This window comes from Homo sapiens, chromosome 18, assembly GCF_000001405.40.
Source record: "Homo sapiens chromosome 18, GRCh38.p14 Primary Assembly".
Lineage (NCBI taxonomy): Eukaryota > Metazoa > Chordata > Mammalia > Primates > Hominidae > Homo > Homo sapiens.
In genome coordinates this window covers 73,771,657-73,793,030 of record NC_000018.10, presented here as the reverse complement: position 1 = coordinate 73,793,030, position 21,374 = coordinate 73,771,657, and the positions used below count along the sequence as shown (strand labels likewise).

Here is a 21,374-nt window from a genome sequence, read left to right as displayed (position 1 = left end):
GTAACCTAATCACATGAGCTCTGCAGTCAGAGAGATGCCAGAGAAGGGAAGTTGGGGGGACTTGAAGTGTCAGAGGGCTTCACCCTACCACTGCTAGAGAGAGCCACATCCTCTAGGAGCAAACATGGACCCCTGGCTGACAGCCGGCATGGAAATAGAGACCTCAGTCTTACAGCTGCAAAAAACTAAATTTGGCCAACAGCCCAACTGAACTTGGAATCTGATTCTAATTCAGAGAACATCGTGAGACCTTTAGGCAAAGACTCAGCTAAACCTGCCCAGACTTCTGACCCACAGAAGCTGGAAGATAAGAAATTTGCACTATTTTAAGTTGCCACGTTTGTAGCTTCTATGGTACAGCAGCAATAAAAAATGAATACCCACAGGATGAAGTGGACGCTGTTATGGAAGGTGAATCAAGAACAGGAGAGCAAGCCTAATGCTAACAGAGGATGCACACCTGGGGTGGATGCTCATATACAGAGAGAATGAGGCACAGGACCATTTCGAGAAAGATGGTCCACAGGGGAAGAAGTAGAGGAAAAGGAGGAGAGAATTTGATGATCAATATTTGATGTAAGCAATTATTAAGAGAATTCCTGTATTATGTACAGAATGTGATGAATGACTTCCTGTGCCTTTTGTTCAGAGGGAGAGGATCTTGGGATGATCTTTATTAAATAATGACCTTTATCTTATATAAACACAAGCTTCATGCTCATGTTTAAGAGACTGAGATTCTTATTTGTTGAACCGGAAAGGAAAGGAAGTCAGTATATCAACAGAGATACGACTTTTCTCATCCAAGCCTGAAGACCTTAATAATTCAAATAGATAATACAGATAATTTCACAGGTTGGGTTAAGCATTCTTTAGCAATAAAGGCAATTTTTCTGACCATTGATTCTTGTCATTCTAAGATGGGAATAGGGTCTGGGAAACCTGGTGTCTCAAAGAATCTGAAGTAGACTTAATTTTGAATCCTTCTCATTTTCCTATTCCATTCCTCTAGGGTTGTTTGGGTTGCAGTGAGGTTTTATAGCTGTAACTTATCAAAAATATTGCCTTAATCCTCAATCATCTTGTCCTTCCTAGTGACTTATTCCACAAACTCTTAAATCAGCTGAAAATGTGACTCTTGACATCCTTCTAATCCAATTCCCCCAAATAATAAAAAGAGGAGGAGTCCTCAAATAGAGTGTGAGAACTGCCATTAGAAATCCAGCCAGTTGTGGTAAGATGCTGTGATTAACTGCATGGCACCGGGTAGGTCTCCTGGGATTGCCATTGTATGCAAGGTGAAGTGATTTCTCACAACTTCTGAACATTTATCTGCATACATAGTCACATTGGTTCATCAATCCTGAGAAGGTTAAAGGGGATATTACTCAAAATCTAGCATGGAGGGCAAAATTTCAATAGCCGGTTATGCCACTGAGTTTCAAGGCTTTTAAAGTGAGAGGTGATAGTTATTTCAAGATTGATACCAAATCTTCTCTCCCCAGCCTCTCCTCCTCCACCTTTACAAAAATTACTATCATTATGCAAAGCAATTCACGTGCTGGCCCATCTTTTCCATTTCCCAATTTCTACAAATGAGTCTATAATTGGTCCACATAAATACAAACCCTTGTGGTTGTTGCTGTTTAGTGGTTCTCCAAGAATCAAATCCCTATTTGAAATGAAAATAGCAGGTCTTCATCTGTTTATATGCCTTTTGGTTATTTTTGACCACATTAACATCACTGAAATGTCTGCACATAATCGATTGCAGATGTTCTTCTCATGCTAGGAATAAATTACAATGGCTATTAGGGCAACAGTCATTGTGAGGTGCTTTGTTGAGAAGAGAGGTTCTTGATGGGGAATAGCAGTGCCTTATGGGCTCAGAGTTATTTTTTGACCTTTAGGAAGGCAGCGGTTAGAGAAACCCATACCATGCCCCGTGGTTTACATGGACAATGGCTTTATTGATGTACATTATCTATATCCTCCAGGTTGAGTATGTGTCTATAAACTTTGTTTTGAGGTTTTCTTAGAATTTCTCTCATGCTAAATCTTTACTGCTCTACCTGGTTTCTGAAATGCCACTGTGATTTCTTTCTTTTGCTTGAGGCTTTTCCCCTGGTTAGAATGCAAACACTCATGGCTATGTTAATGCATGTAGCTTTACTCACTGCCTAGTCTTACTATGCATTACATTAATGAGAATGTATTCATCAGATCATCTCCTAAAACAAGTTTTGACAGTGGAGAGGTTGCAAAACAGAGGTTGTTGGCTGGTGGAACAGAGGCACCTTTGTCCTGAAAGTCATGCCAGAGATGGGGCGTTGAAGGCAGTCCCCATGGGTTTGATTATTTTTCTTGGGATTAACTCTGCCTTGAAAATGAATGTTTTGCTTTCCTCTGAAGTTTACTCTTGCTTTATAAAGCTTAATTCATAGGATGTTATAAATGAATGAGTGAATGAATGAATGACTGTCTTCACAGGCACCAGCTAGAGATGTTAAGGATTACCCTGATGGCATTTTTAATTTTTTTTCTTGGAATGTAAGAAGAAGGCTTCTCTCTTAATTAATCCCTCTCTAATAGGATAGGTCAAGAGAAATGGTTGGGGCCTTGTGAGAAATGTTTCCAAAGCTCAAGCTTGGGCTAAACCATCTTCTTTCTTCTTTTTTACAGTCTGTTTTTATTGCTATCTAGTGTAGTAACTGCATTGAAGAATAGCTGACTTTTGTCTTTAACCTGATCTCTCTTTTTGGCTTCTCCTACTTACTGCTGGTCTTTGTCTTCTGCAACACTGGGTGTGTGAGCTATGACAGGCTTTAGTGCTGTATCCAGAACAGGACATCTAGCTTTATTTCCAGACTACAATTTATAACTTGAGCTAAATTGATACCTAGTTTTTCTCAATTGGAATATAAAGGTAAGGCTTTGCACTTCTACTTGTCTGAACCAGAAGGAAAGAAACACATATGTGATTAGAATTTTTCAGCTAACTTTTTATTTTTAGAAATCAGAGATTCCCTTCTGCCACACACAGACTCTTAAATTATATCCAGAGAATTGTTTTTTACTGGTAATGATTTAGAACTTGTAAAGATTTCAATAAAGATTTAGAATCATAAAGTTCTAAGAATTGTAGAAACCATAAAGTTGAGGTTTATAGTTTTTAGAATTATAGAATATAGACATTGCTATGAATGATTATCAGGCCTCTAAGAGACATCACAGATACAAATTATCTTCTAAATCATTAAATTAAAGAAAAGCTTACTAATACAAAAATAGTATTGGGTGTTTTCCTTGTAAATTAGTACATACAGAAAGTTTGCCAGACTGACAACTACTATGTCATGGGTATTTTATATACATATATATATATATATATATATATATATATATATATATATATATATATATATATATATATATAATTTTTTATTTTATTTTATTGTTTTTTTGAGACGGAGTTTCACTCTTGTTGCCCAGGCTGGAGTGCAGTGGCACAACCTCGGCTCACTGCAAGCTCCACCTCCCAGGTTCAAGTGATTCTCCCACCTTAGCCTCCCGAGTAGCTGAGATTACAGGTGCACGCCATCATGCCAGGCTAATATTTTGTATGTTTAGTAAAGACCGGGTTTCACCATGTTGGGCAGCTGGTCTCAAACTCCTGACCTCAGGTGATCTGCCTGCCTCAGCCTCCCAAAGTGCTGGCATTACAGAGGGTACTATATGTTTTTCTCTCTCTCTTTCCTATTTTGCCTTGAACCATAAAATGAGTTTTTGTGCTTCTTTGGGAAGCATTGGGGAGACCTCCAATGCTTCTTTTCTCCATCCCCTCCCTGTTTTTTCCTCATCAGACAATGAGTGACTGATTTAATTGTTGGTTCACTGTGCCTGTGGAGGCGAAAGCAGCTCCATCTTGGTTGCTAATCTACCGTATTGTCTTCTGATTAGCCCCAGTTCCAGGAATTCCTTTAAGGTTTCCAGCTTATTGTTCCATGTGTAAGAAAAGGTAGTTACTGTAAATCCTGACCATAGGTTAAAACAACCTTGATGCTACCATAAGTCCTGTCTTGGAGCAATTGTCTCTCAGATCTCTTCCGAGTCACTATACCTTCCTGTGCTGTATACGCCCTGGGCCAGGGGGGATAGTAGTGCAGGGATCCAACATCTTGTTTCGCTGCCGTCTGAGACATGGAAGTGGCTGCTGTTTATAAGTTCCTATTAAATGTTTCTTTCTGAGAAATTGAATTTTTTAGCCTCTTTCTTTGGCCTCTCAGCTTCCTTGGACTTCGGGAGTAGGTTTTTGTAGACCTGCCCACCACAGAACAGTGCCCCTCTCTTTCCTTGGGAGCCCAACTGCACAATGAAGTTGTTCTCATTTCTTTTCCATATGCCCCACAGGGCTGACCCTACACCCACAGGCACTCCCCATGTGCCTTCTATACCTGAGATGGTGAGTTCACCTCCAGCGTAGTGGCCAACATCCGTTTTGGCACCTAAGCTGAGCTTTATTCTCCAATCCAGCATTGCCAAAAATAGACCTTTTGTTCCCCAATTCCTGCATCAATTCCTTAATTGTTTCCTAACTTGAGAAAAGGTCATCACAGTTCAAACTCCAACAAGAATATTGGGACTATTTGATGAGTTCCTGCAGAAACAAGAGTTGGCTGAACTTGCCCCAATGATGGGACATTGCTGACAACCTAAAGTCAATGTGGGGTGTCAAGTTCAAAGCCCTCCAGCCTAGGGAAAGGGCCAAGTCTTCAGGGGCAGACATGCATTGACCACACTTATATAGATTAATGGTTAAAATGAGAATGCAAATTTCCTTTCTTTTGAAGGTAAATATTCCTGTGAAGATGACTGAAAGTCTTTTTTGGTTGGTTTATATATTCTGTCACTTTAGGCAGAACCCCTTAAGAGGCCACATTGGAATTCAGAGGCTGCTTGGTGAGAACAGAGTGAGGGTAAGATTTGACTGAATTGTTGCAGAGGCATGAGTTGTCAAGCTGATGTCTCCATCTCTGCCCCAAGATGGTAAACTTCTCAGGTGAGTTAGTAATTCAGGACCGGCACGGAGGAACCCTGACAGTCTTGTCATTCCGACTCTCCTTTTTGCTATCACTCCAGATTGATAATTCATCTCAGATGGGCAAACTCTTGTGGCATATGTGTTTTTTCCCCAATCAGGGTAGTCTGGACTTGGCCAGGGGACTCTGTGTCCTTTTCCAGGCACTGTCTAAGTCTGCTCTGATCTAGTCATCAGAGAGTGAAGCTGAATCTGCAGGGGCTCACCTTCATACCCTCACGTCAGGATGCCTTTTTCACTTTTGTGCACGTCGCTTCTTCTGTCCTTTAATTCTCAGCAGCTGTCTCTTGCAGCTCTTTGAAGGATACTACCACATGAATAGAGTTCTGGCAGATACTGAGAATTTAATTACACCCTCCTCAACTAAGGACTGATGTGCATGGAGGTATCTCTATGCCAGATTCCCTGCCCTGAGAGAGATGAGTCACAGGTATGAGGGGGCTCTGTCTTTAGGGCTTCTTTGCTACTAAGCTAAGGTCACCCTCCAAGGGAATTTCTTGCCATCACAGCACTGCTAGGCCTACCTTTCTTCCTGGTCTAGTTTTTCCTCCCCGACTCTCAATGATTCTTCCTGGGGACACATTCGAATAAATTACTTTTACATAAATCAAAAGTCAAGTTCTGATTTTGGGGAGACCAATCTAAACCAGACAGTAACTATGATTCCTTTTTTTTTTTTTTTTTTTTTGAGATGGAGTCTTGCTCTGTCACCCAGGCTGGAGTGCAGCAGTGTGATCTCAGCTCACTGCAACCTTTGCTTCCTCAGTTCAAGTGATACCCTTGTCTCAGCCTCCCAAGGAGCTGGGACTACAGACATGTGCTACCACATCTGGCTAGTTTTTGTATTTTTAGTGGAGGTGTGGTTTCACCATGTTGACAAGACTTGTCTCGAACTCCTGTACTTAAGTGATCCACCCACGTCGGTCTACCAAAATGCTGGGATTACAGGTGTGAACCTCCATGCCTGGCCCCATGTTTCTTTATAATAAGATTTTTCATGTTTGCAGTGGAGAGAGCCCCTGATTTTCCCCTATGTCCCTAAATATTACCAGCAAGCTATTAGGATTAGTAACCCAATATCTAAAACATTCATCTGATTAACCTGGTGCCTTTGTATGGTTAACTAGAGTTTGAAAGAGCATGAAAGCTTAACATGTCATGTGGAAGCAAGGCAGACGTGAGAAAAGAAGAACTGGACAACACAAAGGAACAGAAAGACCTCAGAGCTAGGGAGGGGATTCTCACTGCTCCTCCGCCAGGTTCTTCTAGCAAGACCCTGGCAGGTGCATTCATCTCTGAGTGAGCATTCATTCAAATAAAAATGACAGGATTGGATTGAAAAGTTTCTAAGCTCTCATTTAAAATAAGACTTTAGAACCAATGTTTGAGCATCAAGAGCAAATTTTACAGCCATGCAGGGAAGTGAACCCAGTGCAGCTGGTTGGCCCTAATGGAAGATGCTCAGGAATGGAGCAGGCAGGTGTATAGAGCTGAAAACCAGCATCTCTGTAGGAGTCAGAATTCTTCAGAGAAACAGAACCAACAGGATGGGCATGTTTATACAAATAGACACACAGAGATTTATTTTAAGAAATTGACTTACACGATTATGGGGGTTGGCAAATCCAAAATCCAGCCGACTAGAAGTCAGGAGACCCAGGGAGAGCTGGTGTTGCAGCTCCAGCCTGAAGACTGTCTGCTGGCAGAATTCCTTCTTCCTCAGGGGACCTCCATCTTTCTATCTTAAGACTTTCAATTGATTGGATGAAGGTAACTTGAAATTACCTTCATCAAATTCTACTGAACTAAAAGTTCATTTTATTTTAAAAAATACATTCACAACAGTATCCAGACTGGTGATTGGCCAAATATCTGGGTACCATGGCCTAGCCAAGTTGACACATCTAATTGCCATCATAATGTTTCCTGCTGGGGAATCAAAATCTGTGTGTCTCTCTGTGGTTGACAGGCAGTATCTGGGCTAGTCTTTTGGGTGCAGGGAGAGCACCTAGGGGTTCAGGGGAGGCATCTGAGATGTGTGGATGTGCTGTGCTCAGCTTGGGCTCAGATGCTTGTGCTGTTGAGTGCTATTGCAGGCTGGGCAGTGGGGCTGGCATTCTTCAGCATTAACCCTCATATTCTATGGTTGTAGAAATCACTAGAGATTTACATATTAAAACTAAATATAAAAAATAACAGCTATCAATATCAAGATAAAGTCATTTTAACAATTGCACTTAGCAATGCTAAAGTTTTTATAATTTGATGTTTCTTTTGTTCACTTGCCATTAATTCCATTAGAATTAAAAAATTGTTTATATTTCAGTAGAGAAGATTATTACACAAGAGAAAACTGCTTAGAGAATGGGTTATGGGTCAAGCATTTGTGTGGTTAGTCAGTAGATACAGTTTAATATCTTCTAGGTCGGTAATACAATGCTTAGGTCAAAATGTTGCATAATAAATAAAGAGCAGGTATGCTGGGCCAAAAAGCATTGTGAAACATTGAATTTTATTTTTATTATGACATCTCCATTTCCATCTGTTTTTTTTTCTACCACATCAAATGTCTATTTTTCCCCTCCTCCTTTCCTACTTTTCCTCCTCTTAACCCATGTGTCCAGCTGCCTCATTCCATCTTTCATCACTTCAAACTCTTTTCTTTCATCTTATGTTTCTTTAATTCCATATTTCCCATCTTCCAGTATTTTTCAAAATTGGTAAGATATGGTTTGGATCTGTGTTTCCACTCAAATCTCATGTCAAATTGTGATTCCCGGTGCTGGGAGTGGGGCCTGCTGGGAGGTGGTTGGATCAGGCGGCAGTTTCAGATGGTTTAGCAACCATCCCTGGTGCTTGCTGTTCTTGCGGTAAATGTTCCCTTGAGATACGAGTGTTTAAAAGCATGTAGCACCTCCCCCCGTCCCCGCCGCTCTTCCTCCTGCTATGGCCGTGTAAGATGTGCCTGCTTCCCCTTCCCCTTCAGCCATGATTGTCAGTTTCCTGAGGCCTCCCCAGCCATGCTTCCTGTCCATCTGGCAGAACCATGAGCCAATTAAACCTCTTTTCTTTATAAATCACCCAGTCTCAAGTATTTCTTTATAGCAGTGTGAGAATGAACTAATACATGGTTTTCATGCCATCTGTACCGGAATCTCTTAGGAAGCAGGGTAAAAATGTGGATTTCTATATTTTAATACCCCATAGTTAATACATTCTCTTCTCTTTCCTTTTTTTTCCCCAAAGGCTCCATATTTACCTGCTTGCCCCATTTCCTCCAAAATATGGGGATATTGTGTTTGAAAGTGACAATGGCCTAATGTTTTCTTTTGGAAGGCTCATAGTCCTGAGAACTGACAAATAGTGTTAAGTCCTTGGGAGGAGGTTGTGAGTTTAGGCTCCTCTTGCTCTGCCCGCAGTTGAGCTGATCCTGCCAGCACTTGCCCTTGCCTAGAAGACAATAAAAAAGTAGAATAAAAGTAGAAGGGGAACAAAATAGAAACTATATATTAAAGGAATAGCCTTAGTAGATGTTTTTAGGATACAGATTATAATACACATTTGAATTTCTCATTTTGAAATATATTTGATTATGTTATGACTCCTTGACATAGCTATTATTCATTTATCTCATAACATATATTTTTCACATCTTAAATGGATAGACACACTGAAAATGTAATGAGTTCACATTTATAATACACTGTTTATTACCTTTACATCATTTCATTTAAAGCCTATATTTTGCTTAATTACTGAGGGAAATCTCAAGAATAATTGCATGGCTACCAAAGTATTTTAATTTATCTTAAAACAAGTAAAGAATAGCAAATTTTTCTCAGTTAAAATATTTTCCATGTTTGGAGTCGCATAGATTTCTGGCTGAAAGGAGAGAGCTTAGAAAACTTTTATTTTATTTTTTTTTTTGTGTGTGTGAAAAGCTGAAATATAAATTACTTTGTTATGATTCCTGCAGTAAAGCTTGAGAAGCTGTATTGAACTCGCTGCAGTGACTCCATCTCTCCATTTCTCCTCAACATCACTTTTTTTGAGTGTTTTTTCCTGGCCATAGTGTGGCATTGCTGTTACATGAATTAGAGGTGCATGGGAGATTTAGGATTTAAAAATAATCTCTTCTAAAAAATGTATATTATGATCTAAAGTACAAATCTGATTATATCCTAGACTTTCAAATAAAATTCATGATTAAAAACTATTTGTCAGGAGTCTGAAATTCTCACAGAGGAACACAGCTCTAAACTGTGAACTTTAGATATTGTCACTCATTTGGTTACAATGTTACTCCGCGCCTGTGATGGGAGCTCCAGCCTTCACTCAGCAGAAGTCACACTTTCACACATCACAGATATAAAGAGCCAGGGCTGCTCGGTGATGGGAGTGGAAAATGGAATTATTGTTAAATAAATGAGCCATTTTAAAACAGACATTCCAGTAAAACTAGACCCAAATTTTTCACACAGGTTTAAAGGTCAGTCAGAAATTTTCTGAATGTTCTTTATGGAAACATCCACTAGATAAATATTATATTTTTTAATTTGATGGTAACAAGCTGGCCTGGGAACAGGTGTTACTTAAGGAATTTTTCCTTTAGCTCCAATTAATAAAATGATGTATAGCCCTGAACCTTTGAATACTTAGATGTAATCAATATTTACACCAAGAAGGCCATGTATTTGCTTCTTTAGGAGAAGAAAAAGGTAGTAGGTTATGATTAATAACAAATTTTATACTGACTTAAAAAGACAAACGTAAATAAAAATTACGTTGCCTTAAGGTTTCAATGTGGTACAGTAAAGATATTTTTTATCTTTCTTTTCTTTTCTCAAAAATCATTCCAAAATACAAGAAGAAACAAAACAGGGCTGGGTGCAGTGGCTCACGCCTGTAATCCCAGCACTCTGGAAGGCTGAGGAGGAGAGCAGATCACTTGAGGCCATGAGTTTGAGACCATCCTGGCCAACATAGCGAAACCCTATTTCTACAAAAAATAAAAATACATAAATAAAAAATAACCAGGTGTGATGATGCATGCCTGTACTTAGGAGGCTGAAGCACAAGAATAGCTTGAACTTGGGAGGCAGAGCTTGCAGTGAGCCAAGATCATGCCACTGCACTCCAACCTGGGTGACAAGAGCGAGACTGTCAAAGAAAAAAAAAAGAAAGAAACAGAAACAGAAAACACAAGATCTACCATTGATGAAACTTAAAACGAACTGTACATGTCAGGTGGCCGTGTGGGTGGGTGTTACAGTAACAAGCTGGTTGCCATCCCAGCCTTGGAAAGAGGCACGTGGCAAGCAGGGTCATGGAGGGTGTGGTGATCCCACAGTCATCTCAGGAATAGCTGTGGGTTGGTGAGAAGAACCGAAGGACAATGGGGGCATTAAGTACAGTCTGCATTTTCTTTCTCCACCCAGTGCCAGAAAATAGTCGGATGATGCTTCTCTAGGTAAGAGGTAGGGACATCCTCCTCTGGAGAGGATGAAACATTCCAGAGAAAAGTCTTAGATATTGATGACTTGTCCCTAATAAAAGTCACTCCTGTGTGCCACACAGTTGTCCACTGACCTACAACTCTGCCTGCCCCAGCAACTTCCAGTCAGCATGTTGGTGCTCCATCTTTAAGTATAAAAAGAAAAACAAGGATCGTCAGATATGCAAGGGGTGATGGAAGAAAATGTCTAAATCAAAAACCAAATCAACGGAAAAAGAAACTCAGAACATTGTGAGACAAACAATTTTCAGAAAGATCATAATTAATGCCCTTGGAAAGATGAAAAAGATAATCCATTCATGAAGAAAGAAGATGTTTTTTGAACATTCAAACAACAAAGGAGAACTCTTAAAAATTTGGAAAAGCCTAAATGTAATATTCAATAAAAGTGTTCAGGTTTTAGAGTAAAAAGAAATAGAAAGAGACATTGGAGAGAAAAGGTAAGAGAAATGGAGGTTCAATACAGGTGGTCCAAATATCTAAGAGGAGCTCCAGAAAGAGTAAACAGAAAATTATACAAAAAATTATCAAACAAGTAATAGAATATTTCCTAGAATCAAAGATAGCTTATTTCCATAATGAAATAACTCAATAAATGTCCAGCACAATGAGTAAAAGAGCCATCCCAGGTCATATTACTATATATTTCAGAACAATGATTAGAAAAAGGTCTGAAAAACTTCCAGAGGAGAGAGACAGGTCAAAAACCCTGGAAATGAAAGACATCTGATTTCTTAAAAGTAACACTGGAATCTAGGAGATAAAGTAAGAACAGTTTCAAAATTCTTATCTTCAACCTAAACTTCCAGACTTAAATAAATTGCCTTTCAGGACTGAGGATGGAATAAAAAAACGTTGAGGTGTAAAAAATGTCAAGAATTTACTTTTTGTGCATCTTTTCTCAGGAAGCTGCTGGAAGATGTATTTCAACCAAACAAAGGGTGGAAAATCTAAGAAAGAGATAGATGTGGGCTCTAGGGAACAGAGAATACAACATAGAAGAGATGGAAATGGAATTGTTAATGAGAGCAAAGCAAATTTCAGGTCAACAGCCGTGCAGCTGCCCAGAAAGCAGCCAGTCCAGATTGAAGTCAATGGGAGAAATGGAAAGAAAATGGAATTGATGAATATTCTGATACATTTGATCATGTGAAAGAATAGTGTCACAGGATGTCGACAGTAAATATTCAAAAAAATTAAAAAAGATAAAATGATACCCATATTAAATGTAGGCAATGTAGGCAAAATGTAGGCAAAACAAAAGTGGCATAAAAATGAAAATATAAACATTTTGACTGGCAATACATCATTATGTGTATATAACAATATAAGTATTAATTTTGGGTTAATTAAAAATAAAATTATATTGAAAGTTTAAAGAGAAAAAAGAGCATCCAAATACACTAAAATCCACAATTTATGAAATGTTGTGTTGATACTGTATACAATTATGGAAAAAAATAATTTTTGTATATATATATGTCATTTGGAAATATCAGAGGAGGTAACAGCAGAAAATGCTGAATGTGGTTTCCTCCGGGAGAAAAGAATAAAGTGGACACTCAGGAGACAAAGAATGCTGCTTTCTTGTTGTTGTTATAATCTTCTTAGGGCTCTTTAACTATTTAATGTTTACAATTACTTGTAAGTAATACCATAAATAAAACAAATATTAATAAAAAATAAGTTATCAACCCAATATTTCTAACACCTGGCAGCCTAACATGAAGAAACGACTGCCTGATCAAATGCTGAGGTCCTATACCTGTGTGGAATCTGAGGGCAGACTGAGTGACTTCAGAGTCATTGGCGCACATTGAACAATAATGTTCAAGAAAAATACAAACAAATACTCTCTAAGCAATTAACCCACGTCGCCATTACACATCAGGAATGCTCTATTGTAAACCGCGTATCAGTTTGGGCTTAACCACCATGTGGGCCTAGAGGAGAGAGAAGTTTTGTTGTAATGGAAAAAGAAGGTCTGCAACTCCAGGAGGTGTTCCTGAAGACCCTTTGTCCTGGGTAGGGTTGGTTTGTCAGGCAGGTGCAGAGGGAGCGTCAAATGCCTCAGGGATTTTAATGAAATGCCGAAAAGGGGGAGGGGAGTGTAAAGAACTTGGGAGAATAAGAAGATTCCTGCATTCAGACTTCAAATGATCACTGGAATGAACAAAAGAGTCTGTAGTTTAAAGCAAATTCTATTTTTAATTAAATAATAATCTAGATAGATATTCTGTGGCAAAGCTTTTATTGCTCGTCAGATTGATTTTTTTCCTCTGCAAGACTATACTTCTCTCATCAGCCTTGTTGAATTTAGACCTTTCAGAAAAGGTTGGATTTTTATTACTTCAAATTAGAGTCTATAATTTCGCCCATAAAACATGTGCAGAATATATATGGGTAAGTTTTACTTTCTCCATCAAATGTTCTATGTTCACTGGAAGGCAAAGATTCTGAACAGGAGGGGACCAGTAGACAGCCTGTATTTATCTCCTCTACCTGGAGTGCCCATAGCTCTTGTGATGTGAATATCTACTGGATTCCAGACGCAAGAACAATAATGCCATCTGTTTATGTGTGGGTCACCAGCCAGCAGATGGTAAACTTGGGTAAGGTTGCTTTTCTATTTTGAGATTTACTGAGAACAGAAGAGTTCATATTCTCTCTGTCTCTCTCTGTCTCTTTCTCTCTAATATTCAAAAAGCACTTTTTATTTTTGAATAGTGTTGGTTCTAAAAAGCACTTCTTGTATGTGAAATAAGAAGAGTTGTGTGTCTATACATCTACTATTGGAGGGCAATAACAATCTGTCCACAAATTTCTTGTTTTGGAGGGAGGAAAAGCAGTAACATGCAGAAGTCTGCAGATGCCAGTGGATGGTCAGAGACAGAAAGCCAGGTGCTTGGGGCAGCCTCTGGAACACACGTATCTGTGGCCATTTTCTGTGAGAAGAATGGCAAGGTGTCCTGGTGTCTCTGTTCTGCCCTAGGGATGGGAGGGTTCCCTAGTGAAAATGGGCTCACCACACATAAATAGCATGCTTTCCCCAACCTGCTGACCCTGAAGTTCTCGGCTTCACCAGTTGGTGAACACAGGTATTCAAAATTTGATTTCCTGAGACCCGACCTCCCCCATCCCCGACTGTGAAAAGTCCTGTGTTTTATGTGCCATGAGCATCCTTTGAGACTCATATCTGTATTTAGAAGCACTCTGTCCCAAGCTTTAAGCTCATTTTCTTTGAGAAATTACCCCCTTGTCACTTATTGGTTAATCTCTCTTGGAAAGTAGAAATGCCCTTTGGCATTATGATCATTTGTGGTACAGAAGGTTCTGGTTTGAGCTCTAAAGTATTGAGCATCTCATAATGTAGCTCTTTCATGTACCACTAGGTATGGCTAGCTAAGCCCAAGTTTTAAACATCACACAAAGTCACATTTCAAATAAGTGACCCAGACTTGATGGTCTGGGTTGCTGCAGGTGCTTCTGCCACCAGCGTTGCCATGGGAGTTTGAACTTTGCAGGAACACTGGGCAGTAGTTGGTGCTCAGGTCAACCAACTGGTCTAGTGCACGATCACCGCTTTGATCCAGCCAACTCTTTCTCCCACCCTGGATGCTACTGCTGCCCTTTTTCCTGTGTAACGTATTCAATGATCCTCCCAAGCCACAACACTTCCATGATGGGAGAAGAATCCTTCCTTCTGTATTACATTTAATCATGGTGTGTCCCGCAGTGACACAGTCACCTCATTACCCCATGTCTAGAAATATTCTGCCAAATGAATGGGTTGGGAAAAGCCTGGTATCGCTGTACCCAGGAATAACTCCCGATCTTATATGCCAAAGGTTTCTTGACTTGTCACAAAATTTTATATTGAGGGACCCTGTTGTAGCTCTGCAATCTGGCTTCCGTTGTCCCCAGCTTCTCATATCTGACAATCATGTCTCATTGTATCTAAACACTAAGCCCTGGGGTAGACAGGTTTTCATAAACCTAAGTGTCCAGCTCGAAATCAGAAATATATACATGTAACTCAACAACTCAACTCTGCTGCTGGAAACACCCAAATTGAATACACATGGAGAAAGTGGTATGATATCTACCTACTTTCCTGGAAAAGGGAGTGGGGTAAGTATGTACTCATCTTGTCAGGAAACAGAAGTTCCAGAATTACTTCTGGTGTCACCGTTAATAAAATTGTCCCTTGTTATATCAACATTTGCACAATATGTTTTTCATAAAGCTGCAGAGGAAACACTCCTTTCGAAATTCAGACTGTAAAAATGTATCCAAAAGTCTGATGTCATCATTTCTGTTGCATTTTTTTTCTTAAATTCTTTCCTACTTAACTATCTTTTTGCCCCTCTACATGAATTCCATTGTATTCTGATATTATCTTTGTGTTAAATCTAATCCTAGGCATCTCCAAGGTAGACATGCATTGGTTAGTAATCAAGATGTTCATTTTCTTTCACATGCACAAAAGGCCTTTCCATATTATTACTAACTTCAGGCAGAGTCAGGCACAGACAATAAAGGCTGATTCCTGAAGCACTCCCTCACTGACTCCTCCAAACACACTGTAACTGATTTATGGGTTATCTTTGTGAATAAAACTGATTGTCTCTGCTTGAACATGTTTGGTATTGTTATACAATTTAAAAAATATGCCCAAAGAATAAGAGTCTTGCTCCATTAAGAATTAACTCACAACCTTCTTTTTCTTCCCATTTTCTTCCTCTTTCCCCTTGCAGTATGTTTGCAGAGTTGCTGGTTTTAAAGATCTGCCTTAGCATGTCAGTGCATTTGTAACGAATATAATTTCTTGTGGTGGATATGGGCTTTCTCAGGATGTGAAGATTGCATTGACTGAAGGTTAATGCAGGAAATAGTGCTCCCTGTACTGAATGTTGTAAGATACAGTCTAGGGTGATAAAAATTGGCTTCCTTTATCAAATTTAAATGAATTTCAATCTTAGTGCCTCCTGACTGAAAATGAAGAAAATAATTTTTATGAGAGTTTAGAAACATGTTATGTATGCCATTGTGGACCAGTGGCACAAGCCTATCTTGAGAGTTTTAAGAAAATAGTGTTGGATCAATTTCTTTTTTTTTTTTTTTTTTTTTTTTTTTTTTTGAGACGGAGTCTCGCTCTGTCGCCCAGGTCGGACTGCGGACTGCAGTGGTGCGAGCTCGGCTCACTGCAAGCTCCGCTTCCCGGGTTCACGCCATTCTCCTGCCTCAGCCTCCCGAGTAGCTGGGACTACAGGCGCCCGCCACCGCGCCCGGCTAATTTTTTGTATTTTTAGTAGAGACGGGGTTTCACCTTGTTAGCCAGGATGGTCTCGATCTCCTGACCTCATGATCCACCCGCCTCGGCCTCCCAAAGTGCTGGGATTACAGGCGTGAGCCACCGCGCCCGGCCGTGTTGGATCAATTTCTAAGGAATTGAGGAATCAGCTGTCTGAACATGATGCTGAGTTTATTAGAACGCCATTTCTAAGGCTGCTAGCACTCAGTAGATTTTAAATAAACATAGTGAAATGTGATGGACCCAATGTTACAACCCAGCTCTTTTAAAGGGAACTTCGTGACAGTTCTGAGGTGTGGGCGAAAAGCAGAAATGCTGGAGAGCTGGGTTTGCCTCTTTGTCTCATCTTTTACTGCTGTGTGATTTTAAGCAACTTATTTAACTTCTTGGAACTCAGTTTCTCCACCTGTAAGCCTCTCATCTTTTCACTCATTTGAGATTTTTTCGAGGAACAGGATTTCTTGATTTTTATGTAGTAAAACATATCATGTTTTTCTTTTATATTTAGTGGCTTCTTTTTAGATCTTGTTTAAGAAATCTTTTCCTGGGTAGAAGTTATAGTGAGGAAATCCTCACATACTATCTTCTAAAAGCTTTAATGTTTTGCTTTTCATATAAGATCAATACTCAATCTGGAGTTAATTTCTGGGTAAATTGTAAAAAAAATTATTTTTTATATGCATTTTTAAACATTACAGTATGTCTTTTCGTACATGGTGTGTTGCTTTAACAGAATACGTGGGCTGGGTAATTTATAAAGAACAGACGTTTATTGGCTCACAGGTCTGGAGGCTGGAAAGTTCAAGATCAAGGAGCTGGTATTTGGCAAGGGCCTTCTTGCTGCATCATCCCATGGCAGAAGGGCAAAGAGAGGGTGAGAGGGCGGCAGGAGGGGTCTGGACTCCTCCTTTTATAAGGAACACGTCTCATTGATAATGAACCTACTCCCACAATAACAGCATTAATCTATGTGCTGGGGCAGAACCTTCGTGCCCTGATCACCTCCTTGGGTCCCACCTCTTAATATTGTTACTTTGGTTATTAAATCTCTACAGAAAGGGTTACACATTCAAACCACAGCAGCATCATACATTAATTTAATGATGGACTTATTGAAAATCTATCATTTACCAAACTGTTCTGAAGTGAAACCTCTCAAACCTCTATCAAATGACCATGTAGGGTTGGGACTGAGGCAGAGCCCTGCTTCTCTTCCATTCTGCAGCAGTATCACATGCTGTTGACCAATCTCGATATGGGACAGCAAGGCCACCTTCTTGTTTTTCTGTTTCTTCAAAACAGTCTTGGATTTTTATTACCTTTTTTTCCCAATGAATAAAATATTGCCTGATCAAGTCATAAACACACACACACACACAGACGTGCACACGATGGCTTGGAATATTGACTGGAACTGTATTGAATGTACAAATGAATTTGGGGTGACTTGATATCTTTACAATATTGAGTATTCCCAGCCAAGAGCATGATATAATTGTATTTCCATAAGTCTTCTTTAATATTTTATAATGGAACTCTTTAGTTTTCTCTTGGAGGAGAGTTCCTATCTTTTGTTATTACTAAATATTTGAAAATGCTGATACCATAGAACATATTTAAGGAGAAATATACCCTATATACAAAAAAAGGGTAAGTGAATTGTGTGAAGTGTGATGCATTTTCAGCAGGTGGACACATTTGCACAATCCACACCAGGACCCAGGGAGGGGACCCTTGTGCCTTCTCCTGATCTCTTCTTTATTCCTTCTCCCACAACGAACCTCCCTAGCCTATTCAGGCTCTTTCCTGGATTGCTAGTACACTTCCCGGGTTTACTAGCCAAATTCCCACATAGATATGGTATGATTTATTGGCCAGATCAAACTTCAGCACCAGGTATGCACTTTTCCTCAAAAACAAATTCGCGAAAAGTGATACGGTATATAAAAATAGTTTTAGGACATGACTGCCAAGACTGTGGTAGGAGCCAGCAGAGCGGCAGCTGAGACTGGAAGCAGAATGAGTTGCTGTGTGGGAACATTTCCTACCTAGATGGCACTGCAGGGTCGGGTGTTTGCCAGGAGCAAGCAGGGCGACCTGAAGGCTCTAAATCCAACGGCACGGGATGTGGAACCAGACAGCGGCGGCCCCGGGGGGAGGCGTGTATTCTCACACACGCGCCTCTCAATCATGCCACTTACAGCAGTTGCTCTACTCCTCTTTCCAACATGGAAAAAACGGCTTCTCTTTCCTTGCATCTTCCAACTTCTTTTTTTGAAACCTAATTCTGCTTTCATTTGCAGTTTAGTTTTTCTTCACTTCTAATCAGAAATAAAGATGTGGATAATTTAAGAACCCATCATAATAATAATGAATAATTTCCCAGATAGGGCAGCTTGAAACAGTGAAAGAGGATATTTTGACAACTCTGTACAGTCTGATTTATTAATCTATGAGAAAAGAAGGTTTTGATGAAGTTCTGTTCTACCCTTGTGGAATCTACCCGTTCCTTGTTGGTTTGCTTTATCTCACCACTTTTGTTAGAACTGAAATACTGGTGCACTAAGCCAGAGAAAATTCTGAAACTGCACTTTCTTTCCAATAATGTCAAATATCTTAGGCATTGGTCTCCAAAATAATTAAGTATCATTATGTGGCTGGGATCATCTACTCACCGTACTATTGGAAAACAAACTCATTAGGGATACGGTATAAACTATATTAGGTAACATTAGAAATTATAGAAGTTCCATCCAATCTCACTCAATATTGCAACTTATTTACCTTTATAGATTTGGGCAAATTAGTTTCTTAATTATCTCTTATAATTGCACATCAAACTAAGCAATGTCCCTTTATAAACAATCACCTTGGGTGGCGGCATGCTTCTCTGGAGAGGTTTCGGTTCAGAACATGACATGGAGTTTCTGGGATGACCCTCAGATTGTTGACACTCTTTTTTGAATATTTTTAGAGACAGTAAAAATTCACCATCGGAGAGGGAATTTGAGGTCTGGAAAGACACAAGAGGGATCACAATAAAACCAACTGTACTGAATAATGAGAACAATCAAGCCAAACAGAATTGTTTTGGATTTGTAAAACTGAGCAAATAAAAGTCATGAACCTGATGTTTTTATTATGTGGTTTGTGTGCTGTTCCATAACGATATTCTTCTGAGCTAATTTTTAAATATATGTGGAACAATAGCAGCCTCATTTGGGTAACGGTATAGCTTCCACAATGAGTATTCTAAAGAATACCCATTCACTTAGAAAAAATGTTTCCCATGGTATCATCCTGTGTGCTGGGGGATTCCTGCAGGAGCTGCAGAATTAAGAAGGCCTATATGGTAGTCCTTTGAAACGCAGCCTTGCAAGTGTTTTCCTGTCCAACTCTTGTGTTTCATGGCTGTTGCACAGTTTCAGCAGAAGTCTACATATTCTGCCTGTAAATGACCTGGACAAGCAGCATGAGTTGAACGTTTTGGTAGGGCCTTTCTTTTCCAACCTTTTGAGTGCCTTTTGAATGTATGAGAAATAAAAGCTCTCACACTGAGAAGAGACATTACAAATAACTCCCCAAACTCCCTTAATATGTGATCACCTTTAATAATACCAACAGGAGCACTACAGGGAGGTTCACACAATTTGAACTCAAATTAAACGCAGATGACCATCAAGTGAACCCTGACTCTCAGAACATTACAGTTAATTAAAATGTCACATTTTCTGTGACAGTGATAGGATATTGGGATACTGTAGGGTCTCCGTCATTAATGGGTTAACATTCTTAGCAAATAAATTTTGACCTAATTTTTAAAGACGAAACATAGCACAGCATTTTATGAGCATAGTTCAGTCAGAGAATGCATTTTTTTCAGATAAAAAAATTAATCCCTGTGTACTTTCAGGATAATTGAAAAGTTTATATTGTGTAGAGATTAAATGCAGATAAAGCAGTTTATTTTCCTTATATTGTTTGGAATACAGTTTGCTGCAAAAGATAATCCCACAATTTATAATCTAGACATTTTATTATTAGACTTTAGTAGGCTTTTATAAAATGAACTGGATATTTTTTAATTATCTTCTCTTTTTTAAAGCTCTTTAATGCTTCCCAATCCCTGCCCAAGAGTGACCTTTGTAGGGAAGTTGGCTGGCTGCCATGAAGAGGACATTTGAGTCAGAAATGACAGCACCGATGCTTGTGTGACCTGCAGGATCACCCCAAATGGAATCTCTCAAATGCGCTTCTCCCAGTTGCCTTTGGGGGTCCAGTACAAAATGAATTCTTTACATTTCAAGCAAATGGAAAGGAAATGGACGAAGCATATTTTTACTAAGAAGTTTTTTTTTTGAGATGGGGAATTTTGACTGATGTTAATATACATAAATACATGGGAGCAGGGAGAGGGCACAGTGGTTTACGCCTGTAATACCAGCACTTTGGGAGGCTGAGGCGAGTGGATCACTTGAGGTCAGGAGTTCAAGACCAGCTGGTCAACATGGCAAAACCCTGTCTCTACTAAAAATATGAAAAATTAGCTCAGTGCAGCGGTAGGTGCCTATAATCCCAACTACTTGGGAGGATGAGGCAGAAGAATCGCTTGAACCCAGGAGGTGGAGGTTGCAGTGAGCCTAGATCACACCACTGCACTTCAGCCTGGGGAACAGAGTGAGTGAGACTCTGTCTCAAAAAATAAATTAAAAAACAAACAAATACACACATACATATACATGTATCTCTTTACAAGTTAAATTTGGAAGAGAACCCTCACATGAGAGACTTAGGTACATCCCAGATGTGTTTGGGAAGCATAAACTACTGATAAAATGCATTCTCATTATTATGTTAATATAGGTTAAGAGATTACATATGTAAATAATTTCTGTTGGATTCTAACCTTACAGGATAATCTAAAATTCTGAATAAATCATTCTCTGATCCACACACTTCATTAGTATTCTTTGTTAGCCCTAAAGGTTTTTACAAAGTGGAAGTGTGCGTTTTTGAAAGAAACTATTAGTTCTTAACAAATAATATTCTTTTATTTTTGACATGCCAAATACAGCATTTTGTAAATGGGTTCACTAATCCTTTTAAATTTCAATACCTAGAGAAGCATTTAGATTCAGAATGTGAAGTGCCAGTCATTCAGACAGAACACATATTCCTCTAAGGAATTGCCTCAAGAAAAAAAGAAAAATTCTCTCATTAATTTATAAATTGTCCAGGGTGCAGCACGCAACAGTATCACACTAGGTCTGTCTGGAGCTGGGGTCCCAAGAGCCAAACCCATTTTCATTCGTAATGTAGGCAGGTACAGAGCCTTGACAGAGCTGAGCCCAAAAGGTCAGAGGAGGCAGGGTGTCTCAGTCTAGGAGGGCAGGCAAAGAACAGAGAAAATTCTTTAATTTGAGCTTTTTTTTTTCTTTCGTGCTACT

The 21,374-nt window shown here is 39.4% G+C and overlaps 1 long non-coding RNA gene across 1 annotated transcript in view; it reads right to left on the bottom strand.

Moving 5' to 3' along the window:
- Window positions 1–8,252: 8,252 nt before the first annotated feature.
- Window positions 8,253–21,374, bottom strand: part of LOC105372191 (uncharacterized) — a 28,272-nt gene continuing 15,150 nt past the window's right edge. Inside the window, exons 3-4 of the long non-coding RNA XR_935622.3 lie at window positions 18,797–18,940; window positions 8,253–8,548 (exon numbers count right to left, since the gene is read on the bottom strand). This is a non-coding gene — a long non-coding RNA (uncharacterized LOC105372191). The remainder of the gene's footprint in view (window positions 8,549–18,796; window positions 18,941–21,374) is intronic.